Source organism: Homo sapiens, chromosome 19 (genome assembly GCF_000001405.40).
Source record: "Homo sapiens chromosome 19, GRCh38.p14 Primary Assembly".
In the NCBI taxonomy this organism is placed as follows: Eukaryota; Metazoa; Chordata; class Mammalia; order Primates; family Hominidae; genus Homo; species Homo sapiens.
Genome location: NC_000019.10, coordinates 49,251,457 through 49,277,011, shown reverse-complemented (window position 1 = coordinate 49,277,011; position 25,555 = coordinate 49,251,457). Strand labels below are relative to the sequence as shown.

The 25,555-nt window shown below is 42.5% G+C and overlaps 1 long non-coding RNA gene and 2 pseudogenes across 1 annotated transcript in view; 1 reads left to right on the top strand and 2 right to left on the bottom strand.

The window, feature by feature from the left end:
• Positions 513–1,986, bottom strand: SUMO1P4 (SUMO1 pseudogene 4; annotated as a pseudogene).
• LOC107985340 (uncharacterized) overlaps positions 7,516–25,555 on the bottom strand; it is a 47,653-nt gene continuing 29,613 nt past the window's right edge. Inside the window, exon 3 of the long non-coding RNA XR_001753971.2 lies at positions 7,516–7,609. This is a non-coding gene — a long non-coding RNA (uncharacterized LOC107985340). The remainder of the gene's footprint in view (positions 7,610–25,555) is intronic.
• On the top strand, positions 20,672–24,679 carry SLC6A21P (solute carrier family 6 member 21, pseudogene; annotated as a pseudogene).

Genomic DNA, 25,555 nt, shown 5'->3' with positions numbered 1-25,555 from the left:
TCTGATTTCTTAAGGGGAGTATTAAGTTCCTTTATTCATCATCTTTAGTCTTCAGTAAAGTGTAATTTTTGCTGTATGTCAAAGGTTTTGATATGAAATCTCCTTTTTATGCTACCTAGAAACTTTGTAATTTTCTACTTCTTTTTAATCCAAGGATTATCTGGAAGTGTGTGTGTGGGGTTGTGTGTGTGTGTGTGTGTGTATAGGATTATCTGGAAATATATATACACACACACTTTTATGCTACCTGGAAACTTTGTAATTTTCTACTTAGCTTCTTTTTAATCCAAGGATTATCTGGAAGTGTGTGTGTATGTATGTGTGTGTGTGTGTGTATATATATATATATATATATATATAGATAGATATATAGATATGAGATGGGTGTCTTGCTGTGTTGCCTAGGCTGGTCTTGAACGCCTGAGCTCAAATGACCCTCTCACCACAGAAGCATATTTCTTAATTTCCAAGTCATTAAGGTTATTTTCTCTTTTAAAATTGTTCATTTCTTTTTTTTACGATTTTTACAAATATTGTTTATTTTAATGAAGCTGGTACAATGTCCATTTAAAACCCATATCCCAGGCCAAAAAGAACAAATAAAAAAGAGCAGTGTTCTGCCTTATTCATTTCTACGTGTATTGCTTTATTAATTGCTAATGAAAATCAGAACTTTTCTGGGATCTTCTGACAAGATTTAAAAAAAATCTTAAAATGCCTTTTCTTCAGTGAAGCCATCTTTGGAGTTAGGCATCACTCTTACCTGATCTGTCGTCTTGACTTCAACCTGATATTCCTCTTCTTTTGGTCCAGACCCTCAAATTTTAAAAGTACCTTCAAGTTAAGGAAAGGTCGTTTTTCCACTGTTCAGTTCTCTGAAAAAACTCCCATCTCCCACTGAAAGTCACAGTCCAGGAGTGAAGCAATCACATGCTAGAACATCAGGGCCAGTTGGAAAGTCATTATGAACACCTGCATTGGCCGATCTTACTTATCACCACCACAAGCCTGAAAATGCAATGTCCTGAAAAAGGTGGCCTCTCTGTGCACACGTAATTTTTAAAAAGGAGAGGGTAGGCTGGGCGCGGTGGCTCACGCCTGTAATCCCAGCACTTTAGGAGGCCGAGGCTGGCAGATCACAAGATCAGGAGATCGAGACCATCCTGGCTAACACGGTGAAAGCCCGTCTCTACTGAAAATACAAAAAATTAGCCAGGCGTGGTGGCGGGTGCCTGTAATCCCAGCTACTCGGGAGGCTGAGGCAGGAGAATGGAGTGAACCCGGGAGGTGGAGGTTGCAGTGAGCCGAGATCGCGCCACAGCACTCCATCCTGGGCGATAGAGCGAGACTCCGTCTCAAAAAAAAAAAAAAGGAGGGTAATATGAAGGGGACTGAGGCTTGATCACCAAAAATCAGCACAATGAAAACAAATGATAATGAATAATGAACACCAGAATTCAAATTACCAGATGTTTCAAAGAGATGGGGTACCAGTTTTCAATTGCGTTTTGAACACCACATTACAAAGGAACTATTTTTAAAAATAAAGGATTAAAGGATCGAGGGAAAATAAAAAAAGAATAAGCCGTTGAATGACCGCCCCCCACTACGTTTGTTCCTGATAAACTTCAATCACATCTTCTTCCTCCATTCCCAGTTCTTTTGGAGTATGATTATCAGCAATTCTCTGACCCTCAAAGAGAAACCGAGTGGATTCATTGGAATACCCTGTCTTTGACAGTATGATTCTTTGAGTTTCTTGAGATGTGTTGTCATTTTCACTTTGAAGTGAATCTCACTGCTATCCTGTCCAGTGACTTTGAGTTTAATATATTCACCTTCCTTCTTATCCCCCAAGTCCTCAGTTGAAGGTTTTGCCTCCTGGTCAGACATGATGACAGTGGCTTCACCCAGGGGTCTCCACACAGCAGCGGCCTCGAGTAGGCAGAACCGCACTCCAGGGTTCACAAATCCATCTCCCTTCCCTAAAATTGTTCATTTCTAATATGACTAAGTATCTATTAAATCGTATTTGTTTGCATTATTCAATTTCTCTATGTCCTTTTTTTTCTCTATTAGATCTGTGAGTTCTGAAAAAGTTGTATGATAATTGCCATCGTAGTTATATTTTGATCAATTTCTTTTTGGTTTTATACGTGTTTTGCCTTAAATATTTAGCTCTCCAGTTGTTTGGTACATATAGGCTTGTGGCTGTTATTTTTTTCTTTGCGTGTTGAGCATGTACCATACGTCTCTAATGTGCTCGGTACTTTTAATCTTAAATATTGTTTCCTGATACTCAGATTTCAATCTTGGCTAGGATGGTTGGGGCATTTGCTTTACAATAAATCATTCAGGTGAACATTTCAGTTTTGTACACTTTTTGGAATATGTGTATTTTATAATAAAAAGGAGATAGGTTAGTATGCAAGAAGAAAGCAAAACTCGCCCAAAAAAGGAAATCTGGCCGGGCGCAGTGGCTCACGCCTGTAATCCCAGCACTTTGGGAGGCCAAGGCAGGCGGATCACGAGGTCAGGAGTTCAAGACCAGCCTGACGAACATGATGAAACCCCGTCTCTACTAAAAATACAAAAATTAGCTGGGCATGGTGGTGCACGCCTGAAATCCCAGCTACTTGGGAGGCTGAGGCAGGAGAATCGCTTGAACCTGGGAGATGGAGATTGCAGTGAGCCGAGATCGGGCCTCTGCACTCCAGCCTGGGTGACAGAGCAAGACTCTGTCTCAAAAAAAAAAAAAAAAAAAAAAAATCTATAAATACAGTACTAAGATTAATGAGTGAGTTTATCAAGGTTGCTGGATACAGGGTTAATAGAACAATATTAGTAGCGTTTCTACATACCAGCAAGAAATAAATAGGTAATGAAAAATATAAAGATAACATTTATAATAACATGAAGCTATTTTAAGTGCCTAGGAATAGATCTAATAAAAAAAATACAAAACTTCTATGCCAAAACCTATAACCATTATTATTATTATAGACAGGGTCTCTCTGTTGCCCAGGCTGGAGTGCAGTGGCATGATCTTGGCTCACTGCAACCTCTGCCTCCCAGCTTCAAGAGATTCTTGCGCCTCAGGCTCCTGAATAGCTGGGACTAAAGGCATGCACCACCATGCCCAGCTAATTTTTTGTATTTTTGGCAGAGATGAGGTTTCACCATCGTGCCCAGGCTGCTCTTGAACTCCTGACCTCAGGTGATCTGCCCGCCTTGGCCTTTCAAAGTGCTGGGATTACAGGGGTCAGCCACCATGCCCAGCCTATAATCATTATTATTATCAAGAACAGTGTTAATCCATGAGGATTAACAGATTTAAGCATGAAAGGCAAATTTATAAAGTGTTTAGAAGTTATGTGGAAGAATAACTTCATGATCTGGGGGTTAAGAAAGACGTATTAGGGCCGGGCGCGGTGGCTCATGCCTGTAATCCCAGCACTTTGGGAGGCCGAGGCGGGCAGATCACCTGAGGTTGGGAGTTTGAGACCAGCCTGACCAACATGAAGAAACCCCATCTCTACTAAAAATACAAAATTAGCCAGGTGTGGTGGTGCATGCCTATAATCTCAGCTACTCGGGAGGCTGAGGCAGGAGAATGGCTTGAACCTGGGAGGTGGAGGTTGCGGTGAGCCAAGATCGCGCCATTGCACTCCAGTCTGGGCAACAAGAGCGAAACTCTGTCTCAAAAAAAAAAAAAAAAAAGAAAGAAAGATGTATTAAATAGCTTTTAGAAAATATTAACCATGAGGGAACTGATAAATTTGAGTTCATTAAAATTTAGAACATTTTTTCATCAAAAGACACCAATATAATAATAACAATAATAATAATTTATAGGTTTTGGTATAGAAGTTTTGTACTTTTGTGTTAGATCTATTCCTAGGCACAGAAAATATCTTGTTATTATAAATGTTATCTTTATTTTTTTATTACCTATTTATTTCTTGCTGGTATGTAGAAACGCTATTAATATTGTTTTCTATTAACCCTGTATCCAGCAACCTTGCTAAACTCACTCATTAATCCTAGTAATGTATTTATAGATTTTTTTTTTTTTGAGACAGAGTTTTGCTCTTGTTGCCCAGGCTGGAGTGCAATGGCATGATCTCGCAGACTGCAACCTCCACCTTCTGGGTTCAGTGATTCTTCTGCCTCAGCCTCTCGAGTAGCTGGGACTAAAGGCATACGCCACCATGCCTGGCTAGTTTTGTATTTTTAGTAGAGATGGGGTTTCACCATGTTGGCCAGGCTGGTCTCGAACTCCTGACCTCAGGTGATCTGCCCACCTAGGCCTCCCAAAATGCTGGGATTACAGGCATGAGCCATTGCGCCCGGTGATTTTTTTCCTTTTTATATACAGAATCATATCCATAAATAATAGTTTTATTTCTTCTTTTCTAAACCATTTTTTTCATTTTATTGTACCTTGTGTCAATGACTCATTGCCACCATAATGCTGCATAACAAACCACCTCAAACTTCAATGACTTAAAACAAGAATTTTTTATTACAGCTTATGAGTCATTATTTTGGGCTCAGCTAATATAAAAGGGAATGGGCTGCCTCTTGGCTAATCTAGACTAGCTTGAGCTAGTACCACTGGAGTGATTCAGCTCTAATATATATTTCAGTTTCCAGCAGATTAGCCCAGACATGTCCTCATAGCGATGGCGGAAGAGTTAGAGAATAAGCAGTAACAAGTAAGGTCTCTTGCAGCACAGGCGCTGAATCGGCATACAAGCCCAGGTTCAAGGAGCAGGAGAGTAGATATGATCTTAGACAAACTGTAGAATCACATTGCAGAGGGGGTGGATATAGGAAAAATTGAAGACTTGGTACCATGAAGGCCATCAGTCTACACAAACTTTAAATTCAATTTGACTAGAAGGGATGGTGGCAGACATCCTTGTCTTATTCCTGACTTTGAAGGAAAACCCTTCAATGTTTTATCAAGTATAATGTTTACTTTATGCTTTTTTTATAAATACCTCCTATGAAATTAAAGATGTTCTTTTCTACTCTAATTTGCTAAGAGGTTGGCTTTTATCTTATTTTTTATTTTGTAGAGAAGGGATCTCGCTGTGTTGCAAGGGCTTATCTCAAACTCTTGGCCTCAGGCAGTCCTCCTGCCTCATCCTCCCAAAGTCCTGTCCTGGGATCACAGCACGAGCCACCATGCCCAGCTACTTTTGTTAATAAATGAATGGTTATTGGGTTTCATCAAATATTCTACAAATTGAGATGGTCATATGATCTGTATCCTTATTATGTTATCACTGATTTTCTTTTAAGCAAAATCATTTGTGATATATAGTTTTCATGTATTGATGGATTTCATTTGCTGGTTATTTTTTGGGACCTTTGCATCAAGGTTTATGAATGACATTGGTGTGTGATTTTATCATAATTCCCTTGCTAGACTAGGTACTCAAGTTATACTCGTCTTGCCACTTTTTCTATTCTGGAAGATTTTACACCAAACTGACAGCATTTACTTCTTAAATGTCTGACACGATTCAGTGAAGTCATCTTCACCAGAAGTTTGCTTTGGAGCAAAGTTACTAATTACAGAAGCAATTTATTCAGTGGTCCCCAATCTTTTTGGCACTAGTGTGGGGGGTGGTTTCAGGATGAAACTGTTCCACCTCAGATCATCACACATTCCATTCTCATAAGGAGCGTGCAACCTAAATCCCTCACATGCACAGTTCACAGCAGGGTTCTAGCTCCTGTGAGAACCTAATGCTGCCGTTGATCTCACAGGAGACAGAGTTCAGGCAATAATCCCTGCTTGCCTTCCACTCAACTCCTGCTGTTTGGCTGGTTCCTAACAGGCCACAGTCAGTCAGGTTTACTAATTGTTCAAATATTTTTTATATAGGCATTTATTGCTTTAAGTTTCCCTCTTAGTACTGCTTTTGCTGTATTTGTAGGTTTTATTATTTTTATTTATTCATTTAATCTTTGAGACAGAGTCTCACTCTGTTGCCCAGGCTGGAGTGCAATGGCACAATCTCGGCTCACTACAACCTCTGCCTCCCGGGTTCAAGTGATTCTCCTGCCTCAGCCCCCTGAGTAGCTGGGACTACAGGCACCCATTGCCATGCCTGGCTAATTTTTGTATTTTTTGTATTTTCACTATGTTGGCTAGGCTGGTCTCGAAATCCTGACCTCAAGTGATCCTCCCGCCTCGGCCTCCAAAAGTGCCGGGATTACAGGCATGAGCCACCATGCCCAGCCTCCACAGGTTTCAATATGCTGTATTCCCATTTTCCTTTGTGTCGAATTTCCTTTTTGATTTCTTTATCAACCCATTGGTGGTTTAGGAGCATGTTGCTTAATTTCCAAATATTTGTTTCCAATGTTCTGCCTATTAATTTCTAGATTTACTCTATTGTCAAAAAAGATAATATGATTTAGCTTTTTAAAATTTGTTAAGACTTGTATTATGGCCTAACATATCATCTATACTAGATAATGTTCCATGTGGTTTTGAGAAGAATGTGTATTCCATGGCTACTGGATGGAAGGTTCTGTAAGTGTCTTGTTAGGTCTGTTTGGTCTGGAGTGTAGTTTAACTCTGATATTTCTTTGTTGATTTTTGTCTGGATGATCTGTCCATTGCTGAAAGTGGAGTGTTGAAATCCTCTACTATTACTGTATTGCAGTCTATCTCTCCCTTTAGGTTTATTTAAGATTTGCTTTATAAATTTAGATGTTCCAATATTGGGTGCATATATATTTATTATTGTTATATCCTCTTGTTGAATTGACTATTTTACCATTCTATAATGGCCTCTTTGTCTCTTTTTACAGTTTTAGGCTTAAGATCTATTTTATCTGATATAACTACTTGTTCTTTTTTGCTTTGCATTTGCAGGAAATATCTTCCCATCCCTTCACTTTCAGTCTGTGTGTGTCCTTTCAGGTGAAGCGAGTCTTTTGTAGACAACATATTCAGTTGACCCTTGAATGATGTAGGGTTAGGGGCACCAACCCCCATGTAGTTGAAAATCTGCGAATAACTTTTGACTCCCCCAAAACTTAACTACTAATAGCCTAATGTTGACCCGAAGCCTTACCAACAATATAAAAAGTCGATTAACACATATTTTATATGTTGAATCTATTATACACTATATTTTCCAATAAAGCAACCTAGAGAAAAAATGTTATCAAGAAAATCATAAGGAAGATAAAATATATTTAATGTTTATCAAGTGGAAGTGATCATCACACAAAGGCCTTCATCCTCGTGGTCTTCACATCGAGGAGTCTGAGGGAGAGGAGGAGGAAGGGCTGGTCTTGCTGACTCGGAGTGGCAGAGGTGGAAGAAAATCTGCATGACATTGGACTCCTGCAGCTCAAACTCATATTGTTCAATGGCCAACTTTAGTTAGGTCATGTTTTTTAATCCGTTCAGCCAGTCTGTCTTTTAACTGGAGAATTTAATCCATTTACATTCATGGTAATTATTGATAGGTAAGGGCTTACTACTGCCATTTTGTTACTTTTTCCTAGTTGTTTTGTAGATCTTTTCTTCCTTTTTCTCTTAGTCTTCCTTTCTGATTAAGGGATTTTCTCTAAAAATCTGGAAAAATGAGAACAAATGAAACCCCAAGTTAGTAAAGGAAAAAAAAATAAAGATCAGAGCAGAAATAAACTAGAGAATTAAATACAAAAGATCAACGAAACAAAGAGTTGGTTTCTGAAAAGATAAACAAAATCAACAAACCTTTAGCTAGACTAAGTATGAAAGAGAGATGATTCAAATAGATCAAAGGCCGGGTGCAGTGGCTCACGCCTGTAATCTCAGCACTTCGGGAGGCTGAGGTGGGTGGATCACCTGAGGTCAGGAGTTCAAGACCAGCCTGGCCAATAGGGTGAAACCCTGTCTCTACTAATAATACAAATATTGGCTGGGCATGGTGGTGGGCACCTGTAATCCCAGCTACTAGGGAGGCTGAGACAGGAGAATCACTTGAACTGGGAGGCGGAGGTTGCAGTGAGCTGAGATCACGCCATTGTACTCCAGCCTGGGCAACAAGAGTGAGAGTGTCTCAAAAAAAAAAAAAAATGACAAAGGAGACATCACAATTGGTATCACAGAACTACAAAGGATCATTAGAGACTATTATGAACAACTATATGGAAAACTTAGAAGAAATGGATAAATTCCTGGACACATATAACCAGCCAATATTATGAAGAATTAGAAAACCTGAACAGACCAATAATGAGCAACAAGCTTGAATTAATAAAAAGTTTTCCATTGAAAAAAAGCTCTGGATCTAATGAATTCAGTTACAAATTCTACCAAACATTTAAAGAACTGTAGCTGGGCATGGTGACACGTGCCTGTACTCCCAGCTACTTGGGAGGCTGAGGTGGAAACATCAGTTGAGTCCAGGAGTTCAAGTCCAGCCTGGGCAACATAGACCCTATTTCTTTCCTTCTTTTTTTTTTTTTTTTTGAGACAGAGTCTCACTCTGTCACCCAGGCTGGAGTGCAGTGGCGTGATCTCAGCTTATTGCAACCTCCACCTGGTTGAAGTGATTCTCCTGCCTCAGTCTCCTGAGTGGCTGGGACTACAGGTGCACTCCACCATGCCCAGCTAACTTTTTGTATTTTAGTAGCGACAGGGTTTCACCATGTTGCCCAGGCTAGTCTCAAACTCCTGAGCTCAGGTAATCCTCCTGCCTCGGCTTCCCAAAAAGGTGGGATTACAGGTGTGAGCCACTGGGCCTGGCCGATGCTATTTCTTTAAAATAGCACATCAAGAAGGTCATTTGCCATGATTAAGTGGGATTCATCCCAGGGATGCAAGGATGGTTCAACATATGCAAATCAATAAACATGATACATCACATTAATAGAAGGACAAAAACCATATGATCTCAAATTCAACATGCCTTCATGATGAAAACCCTTAACAAATTAGATATAGCAGGAACATAGTTGGTTACAATAAAGGCCATATATAACAAACCCACAGCTAGCATCATACTCAATGGGGAAAAAGTTGAAAGCTTTGCCTCTAAAATACAGAAAAACACAAGGTTGTACCACTTCTATTCCACATAGTACTGGGAGTCCTAGCCAGAGCAATTAGGCCAGGGAAAGAAAGAAAGGGCATCCAGGGGTGGGGGCGCATGCCTGTAATCCCAGCTACTCGGGAAGCTGAGGCAAGAGAATCACTTGAACCCAGAAGGCAGAGGTTGTGGTGAGCCAAGATCATGTAATTGCACTCCAGCCTGGGCAACAAGAGCGAAACTCCATCTCAAGAGAAAAAAAAGCATCCAACTGAAAAGAAGGAAGTCAAATTGTCCTTGTTTGCAGAAGACATGATCTTATATATAGAAAACCCTACAGCCTCTCCAAAAACCTGTTAGATTAAACAAGTTCAGTGAAGTTGTAGGACACAAAATTAACATACAAAAATCACTAGTGTTTCTATATACCAACACCAAACTATCTGAAAAAGAAATCAAGAAAACAATCCTGTTTTCAATAATAACAAAAATAAAATACATAGGAACAAATTTAACCAAGGAGGTAAAAGATCTCTACAATGAAAACTATAAAAAATTGGTGGAAGAAATTGAAGAGATTACTAATAAATGGAAAGACATCCAATGCTCATGGATTGGGAGAATTAATATTGCTAAAGTGTCCATACTACTCAAAGTAATGTACAGATTCAATGCAATTCCTGCAAAAATACCAATGACATTTTTCACAAAAAAATCCTAAAATTTGTATGGTGTAGGGACTAGCCCCACAGGGTCAGTGGGTTTTTCTCCGTGTGTGTGGAGATGAGAGATTGTAGAAATAAAGACACAAAACAAAGAGATAAAAGACAGCTGGGCCCGGGGGACCACTATCACCAAGAGGCAGAGACTGGTAGTGGCCCCAAATATCTGGCTGTGCTGTTATTTATTGGATACAAGACAAAGGGGCAGGGTAAAGAGTGTGAGTCATCTCCAATGATAGGTAAGGTCCCCTGGGTCATGTGTCCACTGGACAGGGGGCCCTTCCCTGCCTGGCAGCCGAGGCAGAGAAAGGAGAGAGAGACAGCTTATGCCATTATTTCTGCATATCAGGGACTTTTAGTACTTTCACTGATTTTGCTACTGCTATCTAAATGGCAGAGCCAGGTGTACAGGATGGAACATGAAAGCGGACTAGGAGCGTGACCACTGAAGCACAGCATCACAGGGAGATGGTTAGGCCTCTGGATAACTGCGGGTGAGCCTGACTGATGTCAGGCCCTCCACAAGAGGTGGAGGAGTAGAGTCTTCTCTAAACTCCCCCGGGGAAAGGCAGACTCCCTTTCCCAGTCTGCTAAGTAGTGGGTGTTTTTCCTTGGCACTGACGCTACCGCTAGACCACAGTCTGCTTGGCAACGGTTGTCTTCCCAGACGCTGGCGTTACCGCTAGACCAAGGAGCCCTCTAGTGGCCCTGTCTGGGCATAACAGAAGGCTCGCACTCTTGTCTTCTGGTCACTTCTCACTATGTCCGCTCACCTCCTGTCTCTGTATGGCCTGGTTTTTCCTAGGTTATGATTGTAGAGCGAGGATTATTATAATATTGGGATAAAGAGTAATTGCTACAAACTAATGATTAATGATATTCATATGTAATCATGTCTATGATCTAGATCTAGTATAACTCTTGTTGTTTTTACATATTTTACTATAGTGGAACAGCTCATGCCCTCGGTCTCTTGCCTTGGCTCCTAGGTGGCTTGCCGCCCAGAGTATGGAATAACAAAAGACCCTGAATAGCCAGAGCATTTTTTTTTTTTTTGAGATGGAGTCTCACTCTGTTGCCCAGGAGGCTGGAGTGCAGTGGCATGATTTCAGCTCACTGCAACCTCCGCCTCCGGGGTTCAAGTGATTCTCCTGCCTCAGCTCCTGAGTAGCTGGGACTAAAGGCGTATGCCATCATGCCCAGCTAATTTTTTGTATTTTTAGTGGAGATGGGGTTTCACCATATTGGCCAGGCTGGTCTCCAACTCCTGACCTCAGGTGATCCACCTGCCTCAGCCTCCCAAAGTGCTGAGCCACTGAACCCGGCTGATGTTGAGCATTTATTTATATACTTGTTGGCCATTTGTATGTCTTCTTTGGAGAAATATCTACTCAGGTCCTTTGTCCACTTTTTAATTAGGTCGTTTGGTTTGTTTGCTATTAAGTTGTATGAGTTCCATTCATATTTCGGATGTACATTGCAAATATTTTCTGATTCCATAGATTGCCTTTTTTTTTTTTTTTTTTTTTTTTGAAATGGAGTCTCACTCTGTCACCCAGGCTGGAGTGCAGTGGCGCAATCTCCGCTCACTGCAAGCTCCGCCTCCCGGGTTCATGCCATCCTCCTGCTTCAGCCTCCCGAGTAGCTGGGACTACAGGCACCCGCCACCACACCCAGCTAATTTTTTGTATTTTTAGTAGAGACGGGGTTTCACCATGTTAGCCAGGATGGTCTCGATCTTCTGACCTCGTGATCTACCTGTCTCGGCCTCCCAAAGTGCTGGGATTACAGGCGTGAGCCACCGCGCCTAGCCTCTTTTTTTTTTTTTCCTGCTGTGCAGCTTTGGCAGATGCTAGGGCTTATGGGGAATGGGGAGATGTTGGTTAAAGGGTACAAACTTTGAGTTATAAGATTATTAAGTTCTGGGGATCTAATATATACATGGTGGCTACAGTTAATAATACTGTATTATTTACCTGAATTTGATAAGAGAACAGATTTTTTTTTTTTTATTTGAGACAGTCTCGCTCCATCGTGCAGGCTAGGGTACACTGGTGCAATCTCAGCTCACTACAACCTCTGCCTCCTGGGTTCAAGTGATTCTCCTGCCTCAGCCTCCCGAGTAGCTGGGATTACAGGCACCCACCACCACACCTGGCTAATTTTTGTATTTTTAGTAGTTTTGCCACGTTGGCCAGGCTAGTCTTGAACTCTTGACCTCAGGTGATCTGCCCACCTCGGCCTCCCAAAGTGCTGGGATTACAGGCGTGAGCCACCACGCCCGGCCAGAGAACAGATTTTAAGTGTCCTCATCACATACATACGCACGCGCACACACACGATAATTATGGTGGTTATGGATGTGTTAATTTGATTGTGGTAATCATTATACAGTGTATACATAAATCATATTATGCCTTGAATATATACAGTTTTTGTCAATTAAATATTTTTAAATTTAAAAAGAATATACTTTATTAACCATTAAAATTATTAATTAAATCTGAAAAGCTTTTGAGCTTCGTGTTTTGGGGGCATCAGTAACTGGATCTTTTTTATTGTGTATTACATTGTATGAATATGCCACTATTTGGAGGCTATTGTGAATAAAGTGGCAACAAATATTCTCGTACATATTTTTATGCACATAGACGTGACTTTATGGGTCATAGAACAGGTGTTTTTGTCTTTAGGGAGTCTGCCAAACACCCGTCCAAAATGGTGAAATCACTTTCCGCTCCCGCCAGCGATGGAAGGGCGCTGCGGTCACTGCACATTCTGGACAGTATCTGATGAGCTCAGTGTTTTCAGTTTTGGTCGTGCTGGTAGCTGTGCGGTAGTACCTGATTGTGGCTTTAATTTGCATTTTCATCATGAGTAATGATATCTAGCACTTTTATATGGCTATTGGTCATCTGAATAGCTGCTTTTGTGAAGTCCCTGTTCAAGTCTTTCACCTTTTCTTAGGCTTTTTTTTTTTATTGTTTTGTAGGCATTATTTATATTCTGAATACAAGTCATTTGTCACATGTGTGCATTACAAATGTGTTCCGTCTGTGGCTTACCTATTTACTTTCTTAAAGATGTCATTGAATTTTTAAAAACGTCTTAATTTTAATGAGGTTGAGTTCTAATTTTCTTAGTGCTTTCTTTGTGTATATTTAAGAAAATGTGCTACCCAAAGTCAAAGTGATATTTTCATATTTTTTTGGAATCTCTTTTGTTTTACCCTCCACATTTATATCTATGATTCATCTTGAATTAATGTTCGTGTGTCATGTGAGGTGGGCTCAAGCTTATTTTCTACATAGATATCATTATTCTGGCACTACTTATTGAAAAGACCATCCATCGCCACCCAATCACAGTGGCAATTCTATTATAAATTAAGTGACCACATAGGCTGGAGTATATTTATGGACTCTCTTTTCCATTGATCTATTTATTATCCTTTGCCAACACCACACTCCCACCCCTCTCTCCAGCCCCTCCCCCATCTCCCCCGCCCCTCCCCTCCTGTTTTAATTATGTAGCCTTAGAGTAAATCTTAAGATAATAAGATAAGTCCACGGTAAGTTAAGTCTTCCAACTTTGGTCTTCTTCAAGATAGCCTTAGCCATTCTAAGGTCTTTGGCTTTCCATATAATTTTAGAACGAGCTTGTCTGTTTCCAAAAAACCAACAATATGGGATTTTGTGTTTAAGATTGCCCTGAATCTGTAGATCAATTTGGGGATAATTGACATTGTAAAAATGTTCAACTTGCCAACTCATGAACATGGTAAAATTCTCTAAGTGTTTTGCATTGTTTTGTAGTTTTCAGCGAGGTCTTACACATTTTAACTACATTGATTACTAAGTATTAAATTTCTTTGATGTTTTAAAATAGTATTTTCCAATTATTTGTTGCTACTATACAAAAATATAATTTTTTGTACAATCGCCTTATATATAGGAACTTTGCTAAATTCGATTACAAACTTAATTTCATCCATTTGTAGATTCTTTTTACATATACAATATCTGGGTTTTTTTTTTCCTGAGACAGGGTCTTACTCTTTTGTCCAAGCTGGAATGCAGTGGCATATCAGCTCACTGCAGCCTCAAACTCCTGGGCTGAAGAGATCCTCTCTCCTCAGCCTCCTGTGTAGCTAGGACTACAGGCGTGTACCACCACATCTGGCCAATTTTTTATTTCAATTTTTGTAGAAATGGAGTTTTGCTATGTTGCCCAGGCTGGTCTTGAGCTCCTGGCCTCAACTGATCCTCCTGCCTCACAGTACTAGGATTATAAGCATGAGCCACTGTGCCCAGCTACATACATGATCTCTTGACAGTATACTTACATCACCTTTAAATAAGGAAAGTTTTATTTACTTTGATCTTTATACTTTTTTTTCTTGCCTTATTGCACAGGCTAGGACCTTTAATACAATGTGGAATGAACATCCTTACCTTGTCCCCAAACTCAAGAGAAAAGCATTCATATTTCATTGTTCAGTGTGATGTTAGTTATAGGCTTAAGGAAGCTGTAGATTAAGGAAGTTGCCTTCTATTTCTAGTTTTCCCACCATTTTTTTTTTCAATTGTTCTCCAATATTTTTCTTCTACATATTATGAACCCCACAATACATTGCTGCTATTGTTACTTTAAGCACTCATTAGTCTCAAATTTGCCTACACGGTCTTGCTCTGTTGCCCAAACTGGAGTGCAATGGCATGATCAGCTCACTGCAGCCTCAAAACTTCTGGGGCTCAAGTGATCCTCTCTCCTCAGCCTCCTGAGTAGCTAGGACTACTTTGACCTAGGTAGTAGCTGGGACACCCTTTCAGGTTTTCTTTATTCCTTTCTAAATTTTATGTTATTATTTTTTAACTGACAGATGAAATTGTATGTATTTGTGTTCAACATGATGTTTTGAAATATATATACATTGTGGAATGCTAAATGTAGCTAATTTACATATCTAATATTTTTGTGGTGAGAATATTTAAAATCAGCATTTTTCAAGATTACAGTGTAGTTATTAACTTTAGTCACCATGTTGAATGATAGTTATCTTAAACCTATTCTTTTCATCTAACTGAAATTTTGTATTATTTGACCAACAACTCCCCAGCACCCCACTCCCCCATCATCCCCACTCTGGTAACCACCATTTTAGTCTCTACTTCTAGATCAACTTTTTCAGATTCCACGTATGAGTGAAATCACGCAGTATGTGTTTCTGCGTCTCTTATTTTACTCTTACATCTCTTTCCAGCTCCAATAATATTCCTTCAGCCCAAAGATTTTTAATATTTTTTGCAGTGCTGATGTGCTAATGACAAATTCTCCCAACTTTTGTCTGTCTGGTAGCATTATTTCATCATCTTTTATTATTTTTATTGAGGTGAAATCCACATAACATAAAATTAGCCATTTTAAAGAAACACTTCAGTGGCATTTAGTACTTTCACAATGTTGTGCAACCACTATCTCTATCTAGTTCCAAAACATGTCAACACCCCAAATAGAAACTCTGCACCTGGGAAGCAGTAATTCCTCTCCCTCTGCCCAGCACCCCCCTAGTAACCTCTAATATGCTGTCTCTATGAATTTGCCTATTCTAGATATTTCATATAAATAGAATCATAATATTTGTCTTTTTGTATCTGGCTTATTTCATTTAACATGTTTTCAAGGCTCATCCATGTTATAGCATGTATCTGAATTTCATTTTTTATGGATGAATAATATTCCATTGTAGGGTATACCAGAGTTTATTCTTTTTTAAATCTTTTTTTTTTTTTTTTTTTTTTTTGAGGCGGAGTCTTGCCCTGTCGCCCAGGCTGGAGTGCAGTGGCGCGATCTTGGCTCACTGCAAGCTCTGCCTCCCGGGTTCACACCATTCTCCTGCCTCAGCCTCCCGAGTAGCTGGGACTACAGACGCCTGCCACCATGCCCGGCTAATTTTTTGTATTTTTAGTAGAGACAGGGTTTCACTGTGTTAGCCAGGATGGTCTCAATCTCCTGACCTCGTGATCCGCCCGCCTCGGCCTCCCAAAGTGCTGGGATTACAGGGGTGAGCCACTGCGCCCGGCCTGAGTTCTTCCTTTCAAGTCAGGTGTGTATGTACCCGGAAGTGGAATTGTTGGATCCAATGGTAATTGTTTTACTTTTTGAGGAACTGCCAAACTGGTTTTTACCATGGCTGCTCCAGTGGACATTCTTATCCTCAATGCATAATGATTCTAATTTCACCACATCCTCCCCAGCAGTTGTTATTTCCCACTGATTTTTTTTTTTCTTGTAGCCATCTTCATCAGTGTGAAATGGTAACTCTGGTCTTGATTTGCCTGCCTCTAGTGATTAGCAATGTTGAGCATCTTTTCATCTGCTTTTTGGCCATCTGTTTATCTTCTTGGAAGAAATGTCTATTGATGTCCTTTGCCCTTTTTAAAAAATTGATTTTTAAAGTAACAGATGCAAATTATATATATTTATCATGTACAACGTGATGTTTTGGAACATGTATATGTAGTGAAATGGCGCAATAGGGCTAATTAACATACTTTGCCCATTTTTTTTAACTGAGTTTAGTTTTTTTTCAGTTGTAGGAGTTATTTTTATATTCTGGATACTCGAATCTTACCAAATACTTGATTTGCAAATGTTTTCTCCCATTCGATGGGTTATCTTTTCACTCTCTGATAATGTCTTTTGATGCACAAAAGGACAAATTTTGGTGTCATATTTAAGAAACCATTGCCAAACCAAGGTCATAGAGATTTGCTCCCCAACATTTTCTTCTAAAAGGTTTATAGTTTTTGCTCTTACATGTAGGTCTTTTATCCATTTTGTTAATTATTGTGTAGAGTGTAAGGATCCAAGGTTATTTTTTTTGCATGTGTATATCCAATTTTCCCAATATCTGTTGGAGAAACTGTCTTTTTCTCATTGAGTACTCTTGGCACTCTTGTTGAAAATTGACTACATACATAAAGGTTTATTTCTGGGCTATTCTATCCTATGGTATCCTGTTGGTTTATATGCATTCTTGTACCAGTCCCATGCAGCTTTAATTACTGTAGCAGTATAATAAGTTTTGAAATCAGGAAGCATGAGTCCTCCGACATTGTTCTTTGTCAAGTTTGTTTTGGCTCTTCTGGGCCGCCTTTAATTTCCAGATGAATTATATCATCAGCTGGTCATTTTCTGCAAAGAAGCCAGCTAGGGATTTTGAGATGGACTGCATTAATTCTATAGATCAACTTGGGAAATATTGCCATCTTAATACTTAGTTTTCTGGTTCATAAACATGGGATTTCTTTTCATTAAATCTTCTTTCAACATGTTTTGTAATTTTCAGAGTATAAAATTTGTCCTTTTGTTAAATGTATTACTAAGTATTTTATTTTTTTTTTTGACACTGCATTAGGCCACTTTTGCATTGCTATAAAGGAATACCTGACTGGTATTCCTATTGGTCTATTGTGCATCCTTATACCAGTCCCATGCTGCTTTAATTTATAAAGAAAAGAGGTTTTATTTTGGCACACGGTTCTGCAGGATATACAGGAAGCATAGTGCTAGCATCTGCTTCTGCTGAAGGCCTCAGGACACTTAAAATCTTGGTGGAAGGTCATAAAGAGCCAGCATGTCACTTCTACTACACACGAGCAGAAGCAAGAGAGAGAGGAGGAAGAGCCACACACTCTTAACCAGATCTCACAAGAAGCCATTCACTATCAAGAGGTCAGCAACAAGCCATTCATCAGAGATCTGGCCCCATGACCCAAACACCTCTCACCAGGCCCCACCTCCAACAGTAGGGATTACATTTCAACATGAGATTTGGAGGGGACAAACATCCAAACTGTATCACATACTATCATATATGGAACAGTTTTCTTAAATTTTGGATTTTTTGCAAGTATATAGAAATACAATTTTTGTATATTGATCTTGTATTCTGCAACCTTACTGAACCTATTGGAGTTCTAATAGTTTAGTGGATTCCTTAGGATTTTCTTTATACAAGATCATGTTATATGGGAAGAGAGACAGTTTATTTCTTTTTCATTCTTGATGTCTTTTATTTTATTGTCTTGCCTAATTTCTCTGGCTAGAATCTCCAGTACAATATTGAACAGAAGTGGTGAGAAAAACACTCATGTCTTATTCCTGATCTTGGAAAGGATTCAGTTTTCACCATTAAGTATGATGTTAACCATAGATTTTTTTTTGTAGATTCCCTTTATCAAGTCAAGATTTCCTTCTATTTCTAGGTTTGTTGAGTGTTTATCATGAAAGGTGTTGGATTTTGTCAAGTGCTCTTTATATATCTACTGTGATGATCATATGGGTTTTGTTCTTTATTGGGTTTTGTTCTTTATTCTATTGATATAACATTGATTTTCAGATATTAAACCAACCTTGCATTCCTGGAATAAATCCTGCTGGTCATAATGTATATTCCTCAAAGGGCACAGCTTTAGACATGCATTGTCACCCTAGGATGACAGTGGTTTTAGGTGGGCTCTCCTGTCTCTTTCCCTCACCACACTCAGCTTTTAGGCTCCACTAATTGCCACCTGATTATTGTTTTTGACAATGCTCTGAGGCATAAATTGTTCTGCATCTGGTCCACTTAAATTTAGGCTCCCTTAAAGGAGTAGTTTTAGAGGTTGGTGTTTGAGAGTTGTTCTGAACCCAGGAGTGACCTTCTTAGCTGTTTCCCTGATTCTCTCTGGTATACTAGTTGGCCTGTGGTTTAGCTTGTGTCTCATGAAGCTACCAGCTTCCTCTTAATTACTTACCAACAGAACCTCCTCCACCATTTTCGAGCATGCCCTTAGGCTTGAGCTCTCCCACGCTGTTTCAAGTCAAGTCAGTTCTTTGGGGAGAGACTTTCAGAGCTCTTTGTTCTGAAGGCTTGGCTTTCTCCCTGAGTAAAATCTCCAGAGATGGGTAGGGACAGTGGCCTATTTCTCTCTGAGCGACACAGCTGCCTTAGCAGCAGGTTGCTGGATGGGGCATTAAACTTTCTTATCAACTTGCCTCTCCTGGAATGTAACCTTAGCCTTACACATGAGCTAGGGCCAGGGGAGATCAGGGCTCCAGCATTCTCAAATGGCTGGGGTGGAGCCTCTGCCCTAAAAGAGGGGAGGAGCAGTACTGGATAGAAGAAGGGAGCTCCTGACCTTTTTACCACACTTGCAACAGGTAGCTGGAGAGGAATGAGAAATGCTGGTGGCCTGTCCCTCCTGGGAAGATACTATAGCCTTCAACTGGAAGCAAGGCAGAGAAAGAGCCGTGTGTGTGTGTGTGTGTGTGTGTGTGTGTGTGTGTGTGTGTGTGTATATATATATATAAATTTTTTTTTTAATACGGAGCCTTGCTGTCACCCAGGCTGGAGTGCAGTGGCGTGATCTTGGCTCACTGCAACCTCCACCTCCCGGGTTCAAGCAATTCTCCTGCCTCATCCTCCCGAGTAGCTAGGATTACAAGCACGTGCCTGGCTAATTTTTGTATTTTTAGTAGAGATAGGGTTTTGCCGTGTTGGCCAGGCTGATCTCAAACTCCTGACCTCAAGTGACCTGCCTGCCTTGGCCTTCCAAAGTGCTGGGATTACAGGTGTGAGCCACTGTGCCTGCCCAGAATTTTAGTATATTTTCTTGAATAAATATTTTGTCACTTGCTATATGCCCTTAGGACAATTTCTAGAGACCGTAAATGTTTTTCTTTATATTTCTCACAAGTTGACTTGTTTTACTAGGGAGTGGGTCCATAGAGCTCCTCATGCTGCCTTTCCAAAGGTGGAATCCCAACGAAGCTTTTAAAGTCTACCCATCGTGGCTGGCCGCAGTGGCTCATACCTGTAATCCCAGTACTTTGGGAGGCCAAGGTGGGTGGATCATGAGGTCAGGAGATCAAGACCAGCCTGGCCAACATGGTGAAACCCTGTCTGTACTACAAATATAAAAATTAGCCGGGTATGGTGGTGCATGCCTGTAATCCCAGCTACTCGGGAGGCTGAGGCAGAAGAATCGCTAGAACCTGGGTGGCAGAGGGTGCAGTGAGCCAAGATCACGCCACTGCACTCCAGCCTGGGCGACAGAGTGAGACTGTGTCTCAAAAGAAAAAAAATTCTACCCATCTCTATCCCCACCTTAGACTTAATCTAGAGGAGTGAGGCTAGCAGAATGGAAGGCAGGAATCTGTATCATTTTAGAGCTCCCCCAGTGACTGTGATAAACAGCTGTGTTTGTAAAACCTGGCCTAGAAGTCTATGTGCATTAGTTGGGCCTAAAAGTTTCCAAGTACACCAGAAGTCAACGGGAAAGAAACCTGAGTGTATCCATTGTTTACTGTGCTCTTGGCACTCAATATTCCATTGTGTTATTTTAATCATTTCAGACAGGACTGGTGTTCAGCTGATACTCCAGTGTTTATGGCTGGCATTCATTCTGATTGGTGAGTGCTCACACCATAGCTTTTATTAAATATTTTGAAATTCACCGCTGCTTTTAAGATGAGAAAAACAGAACTGGGTGTGGCGGCTCACACCTGTAATCCCAGCACTTTGGGAGGCCGAGACAGGCAGATCACTTGAGGTCAGGAGTTCTGAGACCAGCCTGGACAACATGGCAAAACCCTGTCTCTACTAGAAATACAAAAATTATCTGATATAGTAGGACACACCTGTAATCCCAGCTACTCGTGAGGCAGGAGAATCCCTTGAACCTGGGAGGCGGAGGTTGCAGTGAGCTGAGATCATGCCACTCACTCCAGCCTGGGTGGCAGAGTAAGACCCCATCTCAAAAAATATATATGTATATTGCCCATAAGTTAGTAACTCATAAGGAGAAGGGCCAAGATTTAAACTCTGGCCCTCATTTCTCCAAAGCCCTGGTTATGAAATTTCACAGCCTGGCACCTGAGACGTGTCCTTTAAATTCTGCTGCTCTTGGTGACCCAAGATTTTCTCAGGATTTACCGGGCCTGAAAGAAGAGCCACGGAGTCCCTTGAGGAATTATCTGACAGAGAAAGAGTCTTCTAAGAAATTCCAGACCCCCAACTCCCTGTCCTGGAGGCTCAAGACCAAGGAGATCCAGGCCACCAAGACCCAAAACTACTTCGTTCAACCTAAAAACACTGAGAGCATCTTGATCCAGATTGCCTTCTCTGTCGGGCTGGGCAGCGTGTGGCGTTCTCCTTACCTGTGTCACCGGAACGGAGGAGGTAAGGCCAGGGGCCTGGGTCCTGAGCTTAAGGAAGGCGTTTCAAGGCTGGGAGCTTGGAGTCCTGGGCCCTGAAGGAGGAGAAAGCTGGGGTTGGGCACGTGGGCTCCTAGGGGAAAATGGGGACAGGGCCAGGACTCCTGGCTGCCTGAGCACAGCCCCTGGCTCCCTTCCCAGGCAGCTTCATCCTGATGTACTTCTTCATGCTTCTCTTATTCGGGATCCCGCTCTTATACATGGAGGTGATCATGGGGCAGTGGCTGCATGTGGACAACATCCGGGTCTGGAAGCAGCTTGTCCCCTGGCTGTGCAGCATGAGCTATGCTCACAGTCTGGTAAATGAGGGACCCAGCCCCAGGCCATCCCCGATCTCCCTCTGTGGTCTCCAGGTCTCTGCCCACCGTGTCCACCCCCAGGTGTGCGCCTCGGTGAGCTTGTACAACAGCACCATCATCTCCTGGAATTTCTTCTACTCCTTTGCTCACCCCCTGCCCTGGGACCACTGCCCACTGGTGAAGAACATCAGTGTCACTGGTGAGGAGAGGGGCCAGCAGGGCCAAGGGAGGCAGGGACACCAAGGGGAGGAAGTGAACAGAAGTAGGCACCGAGCAAGGTGGTACCTGAGTCCCCTCCCCGAGACGTCTCTTGCCTTCAGACTGGGCCCACCAGTACTTCTTGTACCACACTACCCTCCATGCCTCGGACCACAGTGAAGAAGCGGCTGAAGCCCTCGTCCCGAACCGCAGCCTGGGTTGTCTTCTCGGTCGTGATCACAGGGATTTGGATTTCAACGCCGGTAAGCTCCCCTGACGGCCAGCCCCGCTACCCTGTCACCTTTGCAAATCCGAAGACTTCCACACTCTCCACCCCAACACAGCCCAACTCTTCCCTGTTGACTGCTCTTCTGCAATCCCTGTGACCCTTCCACCTGCCCTGAGGACAAGCTCAGATATGCCTCAGCCTCCCAAATGGCTGGGATTACAGGCACCTGCCACCACACCCGGCTAATTTTTGTATTTTTAGTAGTTTTGCCATGTTGGCCAGGCTAGTCTTGAACTCTTGACCTCAGGCTGAGGCAGGAGAATCGCTTGAACCTGGGAGGTGGAGGTTGCAGTGAGCTGAGATCGCGCCACTGCACTCTAGCCTGCATGATGGAGCTAGACTCAGATGTGGCCACCCGGCGTCTCCCTCCAGGGGTCCGAGGAAGATTCTGTACTCTCCTCAGACAAGCTAAGTCGGCCAGGTCTCTCTACAGAGAACTGCTGTCCCATTGACAGCGTGAAGAAATGCCTCACTATCAACCAGATCCCCACATCGCTGCAGGCAGACACCTGTGGGCAACCTTTCAGATCAGACCACAGTCTCCCCAGCTGAGTCCTGCAACCTCCACCTCCCTGCATTTTGACAACATGTTAACCCCTAAAGGAGCTGAGTGGCACCAATTCCATTCCAGGTACCCATTTGGAGCTTTTTTTTTTTTTTTTTGAGACTGAGTTTTGCTCTTGTTGCCTAAGCTGGAGTGCAATGGCGCTATCTCAACTCACTGCAACCTCTGCCTCCCAGGCTCAAGTGATTCTCCTGCCTCAGCCTCCTGAGTAGCTGGGATTACAGGCACCCACCACCATGCCAGGTAATTTTTTGTATTTCTTTATTTTTTTGAGACGGAGTCTCACTGTGTTGCCAGGCTGGAGTGCAACAGTGTGCTCTCGGCTCACTGCAGCCTCCGCCTCCCGGATTCAAGCGATTCCCCTACCTCAGCCTCCTGAGTAGCTGGGACTACAGGCACATGCCACCATGCCCAACTAATTTTAGTAGAGACGGGGTTTCACCATGTTAGCCAGGATGGTCTTGATCTCTTGACCTCGTGATCACCCGCCTCGGCCTCCCAAAGTGCTGGGATTACAGCCATGAGTCACCACGTCCAGCGGTTTTTATTTTGTTTTTTTTTTTTTAAGATGGTGTCTTGCTCTGTTACCCAGGCTGGAGTGCAATGGCATGATCTCGGCTCACTGCAACCTCTGCCTCCCAGGTTCAAGCAATTCTCCTGCCTCAGCCTCCTGAGTAGCTGCGACTATAGGTGCCCATGACCACACCCAGCTAACTTTTATATTTTTTAGTAGGGATGGGGTTTCACCATGTCGGCCAGGCTGGTCTTGAACTCCTGACCTCAAGTGATCTACCCACCTCCCAAAGTGCCTGGATTATAGGTGTGAACCACCACACCCAGCCTGGGAGTATTTTCTTTCAATCCATCTCCTTGGCATCTGGATCATGCTCCCTTTACATAGAAAATGTATTTCAGGCCGGGTGCAGTGGCTCACACCTGTAATCCCAGTACACTGGGAGACCGAGGTGGGAGGATTGATTGAGCCCAGGAGTTCAAGACCAGCCTGGCCAATATGGTGAAACCCCATCTCTACTAAAAATACAAAAATTAGCCATGTGTGGTGGTGCATGCCTGTAGTCCCAGCTACTCGAGAGGCTGAGGCAGGAGAATCGCTTGAACCCTAGAGGCAGAGGTTGCAGTGAGCTGAGATCGCGCCACTGCACTCCAGCCTGGGCGACAGAGCAAGACCCCATCTTAAAAAAAAAAAAAAAAAAAAGAAAATGTATTTCAGTGTGTTTATCAGATTATTTTGGTAAACTCTACCTGTACCTCCTGGTCCCTGCATTCATGCAGGTGGTCACCTTTCACGTCATCCATCTCCACCCCTGGAGACTCAGCTCGCCATCTCTTCACAGCCTCCAAAAATAAACCACTCCTACAAAAGTAGACTTTACTAAAGGTTTGATAGGGATATGCAGAGAGAGGGGCCATAGCTCAACTACCTCCGGGGCAAATCACTAAAATTCCTCTTAGTTATGTTATTCTCTCTCAAAGTCTCTTCTCAGTTTCTTTTCCTCTCCTTAAACTCACACATAAGCCGTAAATCCAAGGCCGGGGAATTAAGTGTCCAACTACCCACCCTTTCAAAGCCATCTTTACTTGGAGTCTCGCCCCTGACTCCTGGGCAGCTTATTGTTTGCTCCAAACCACAAATATTGTCTCCTTAGAATCGTCCTCCCATAATTCCATCGTGTTACTTCTGGGCCACCTTGACACCGTTCATATTTCTACTCCTGACTGGGAGGCCCCTGCTGATGCTCACCTCTGTCTTCCTCTCCTCCCCTCCGTCATCCTCCTCTGCCTCTTCCTGGAAGGTGTGGTCACGAGCCTCAGACGTATGATCACCACAGAGGTGAGGCCCGGGACTCCAAACCTTCTCCCTCTCTCGACTCTCAAGACCTCAGAGTCTCCTTCCCCCACATCTCCTTTCTTTCTGCCCCCAGCCTCCCTTTTATCCTTTTGCTCTCTACCTTAGCCGACCCCTTAGCCTGCTTATTTACTGGTAGTCCTACCCTTCCAAGCCCACTCCTAAAAACTTCTCAGTCACCCACAGCTCTCTGCCTTATCCTCCCTGGACCTGTGGCATCAAGCAGGGGCCGTGTACCCTCTTCCCTGAGCCTGGGCATGGGGACCATCATCACCTTCACCTCCTACAAGGCCGGAGGTGACGATTATGTCAAGGTGGCTGCCATTGCAGCCCTGGTCAACCTGATAACCTCAACGCGGACAACATCCCTCGTCTTTCTAGTGCAGGGATTCTGGGCCACCACCAATGGCCACGCCTGTGTTGAGAAGTAAGTAATCAGAGCCTCACAGGTACAAGGAAAGGCCCCTCCCTTTACCTTAGCAATCCATCAGCTTCATGGCCCTTCAGACTTCAGACCTTTCCATTCATAATAACATCCTTTCTTCTCGCAGCCATTAAAAAAAGGAACGCGGCCAGACACAGTGGCTCACGCCTGTAACCCAGCACTTTGGGAGACCAAGGCAGATGAATCACCTGAGGTCAGGAGTTTGAGCCCAGCTTGGGCAACATGGTGAAACCCCATCCCCATTAAAAAATACAAAAATTAGCCAGACATGGTGGCACGCCCCTGTGGTCCCAGCTACTCTAGAGGCTGAGGCAGCAGAATCGCTTGAACCCAGGAGGCAGAGGTGGAGGCTGCAGAGAGTCGAGATCACGCCACTGCGCTCCAGCCCATGTGACAGAGCGAGACTCGGACTCAAACAAAAAAGGAATGCTCTAATATAATATCCACCACTTTATAGGTAAGAAAATAGTCTCAGAGATGCGACTGTTCTAAGCTTTCCATAAATCGCAAATAGAGGGAGGAAGATTCCAAAATCAATTCTATAACTCACAAAAGAAGGCTGTTACAGCTCATGGGGCCACAATCAGTGGTTATACACCCAGGCTGTATATTTGAATCATTTGGGGAACATGAGAAAACGCTCCTGAGTTCCTCCTCCAGAGATTCTGACTTACTTGGTCTTGGGTGCATCCAGGCATTGGGATTCACAAATGCTTCACAGCAGAATTTTTCTTCTAGTCAGAATGTTGAAGGATACAAACCTCCCAGCTTTGATGGTAGCGGGAGCTTTTGAAATGAATAAAATAAAAACCACACTTTCTTATAAAGTTACTGAAGACCAGTGGGCACAACGTCATG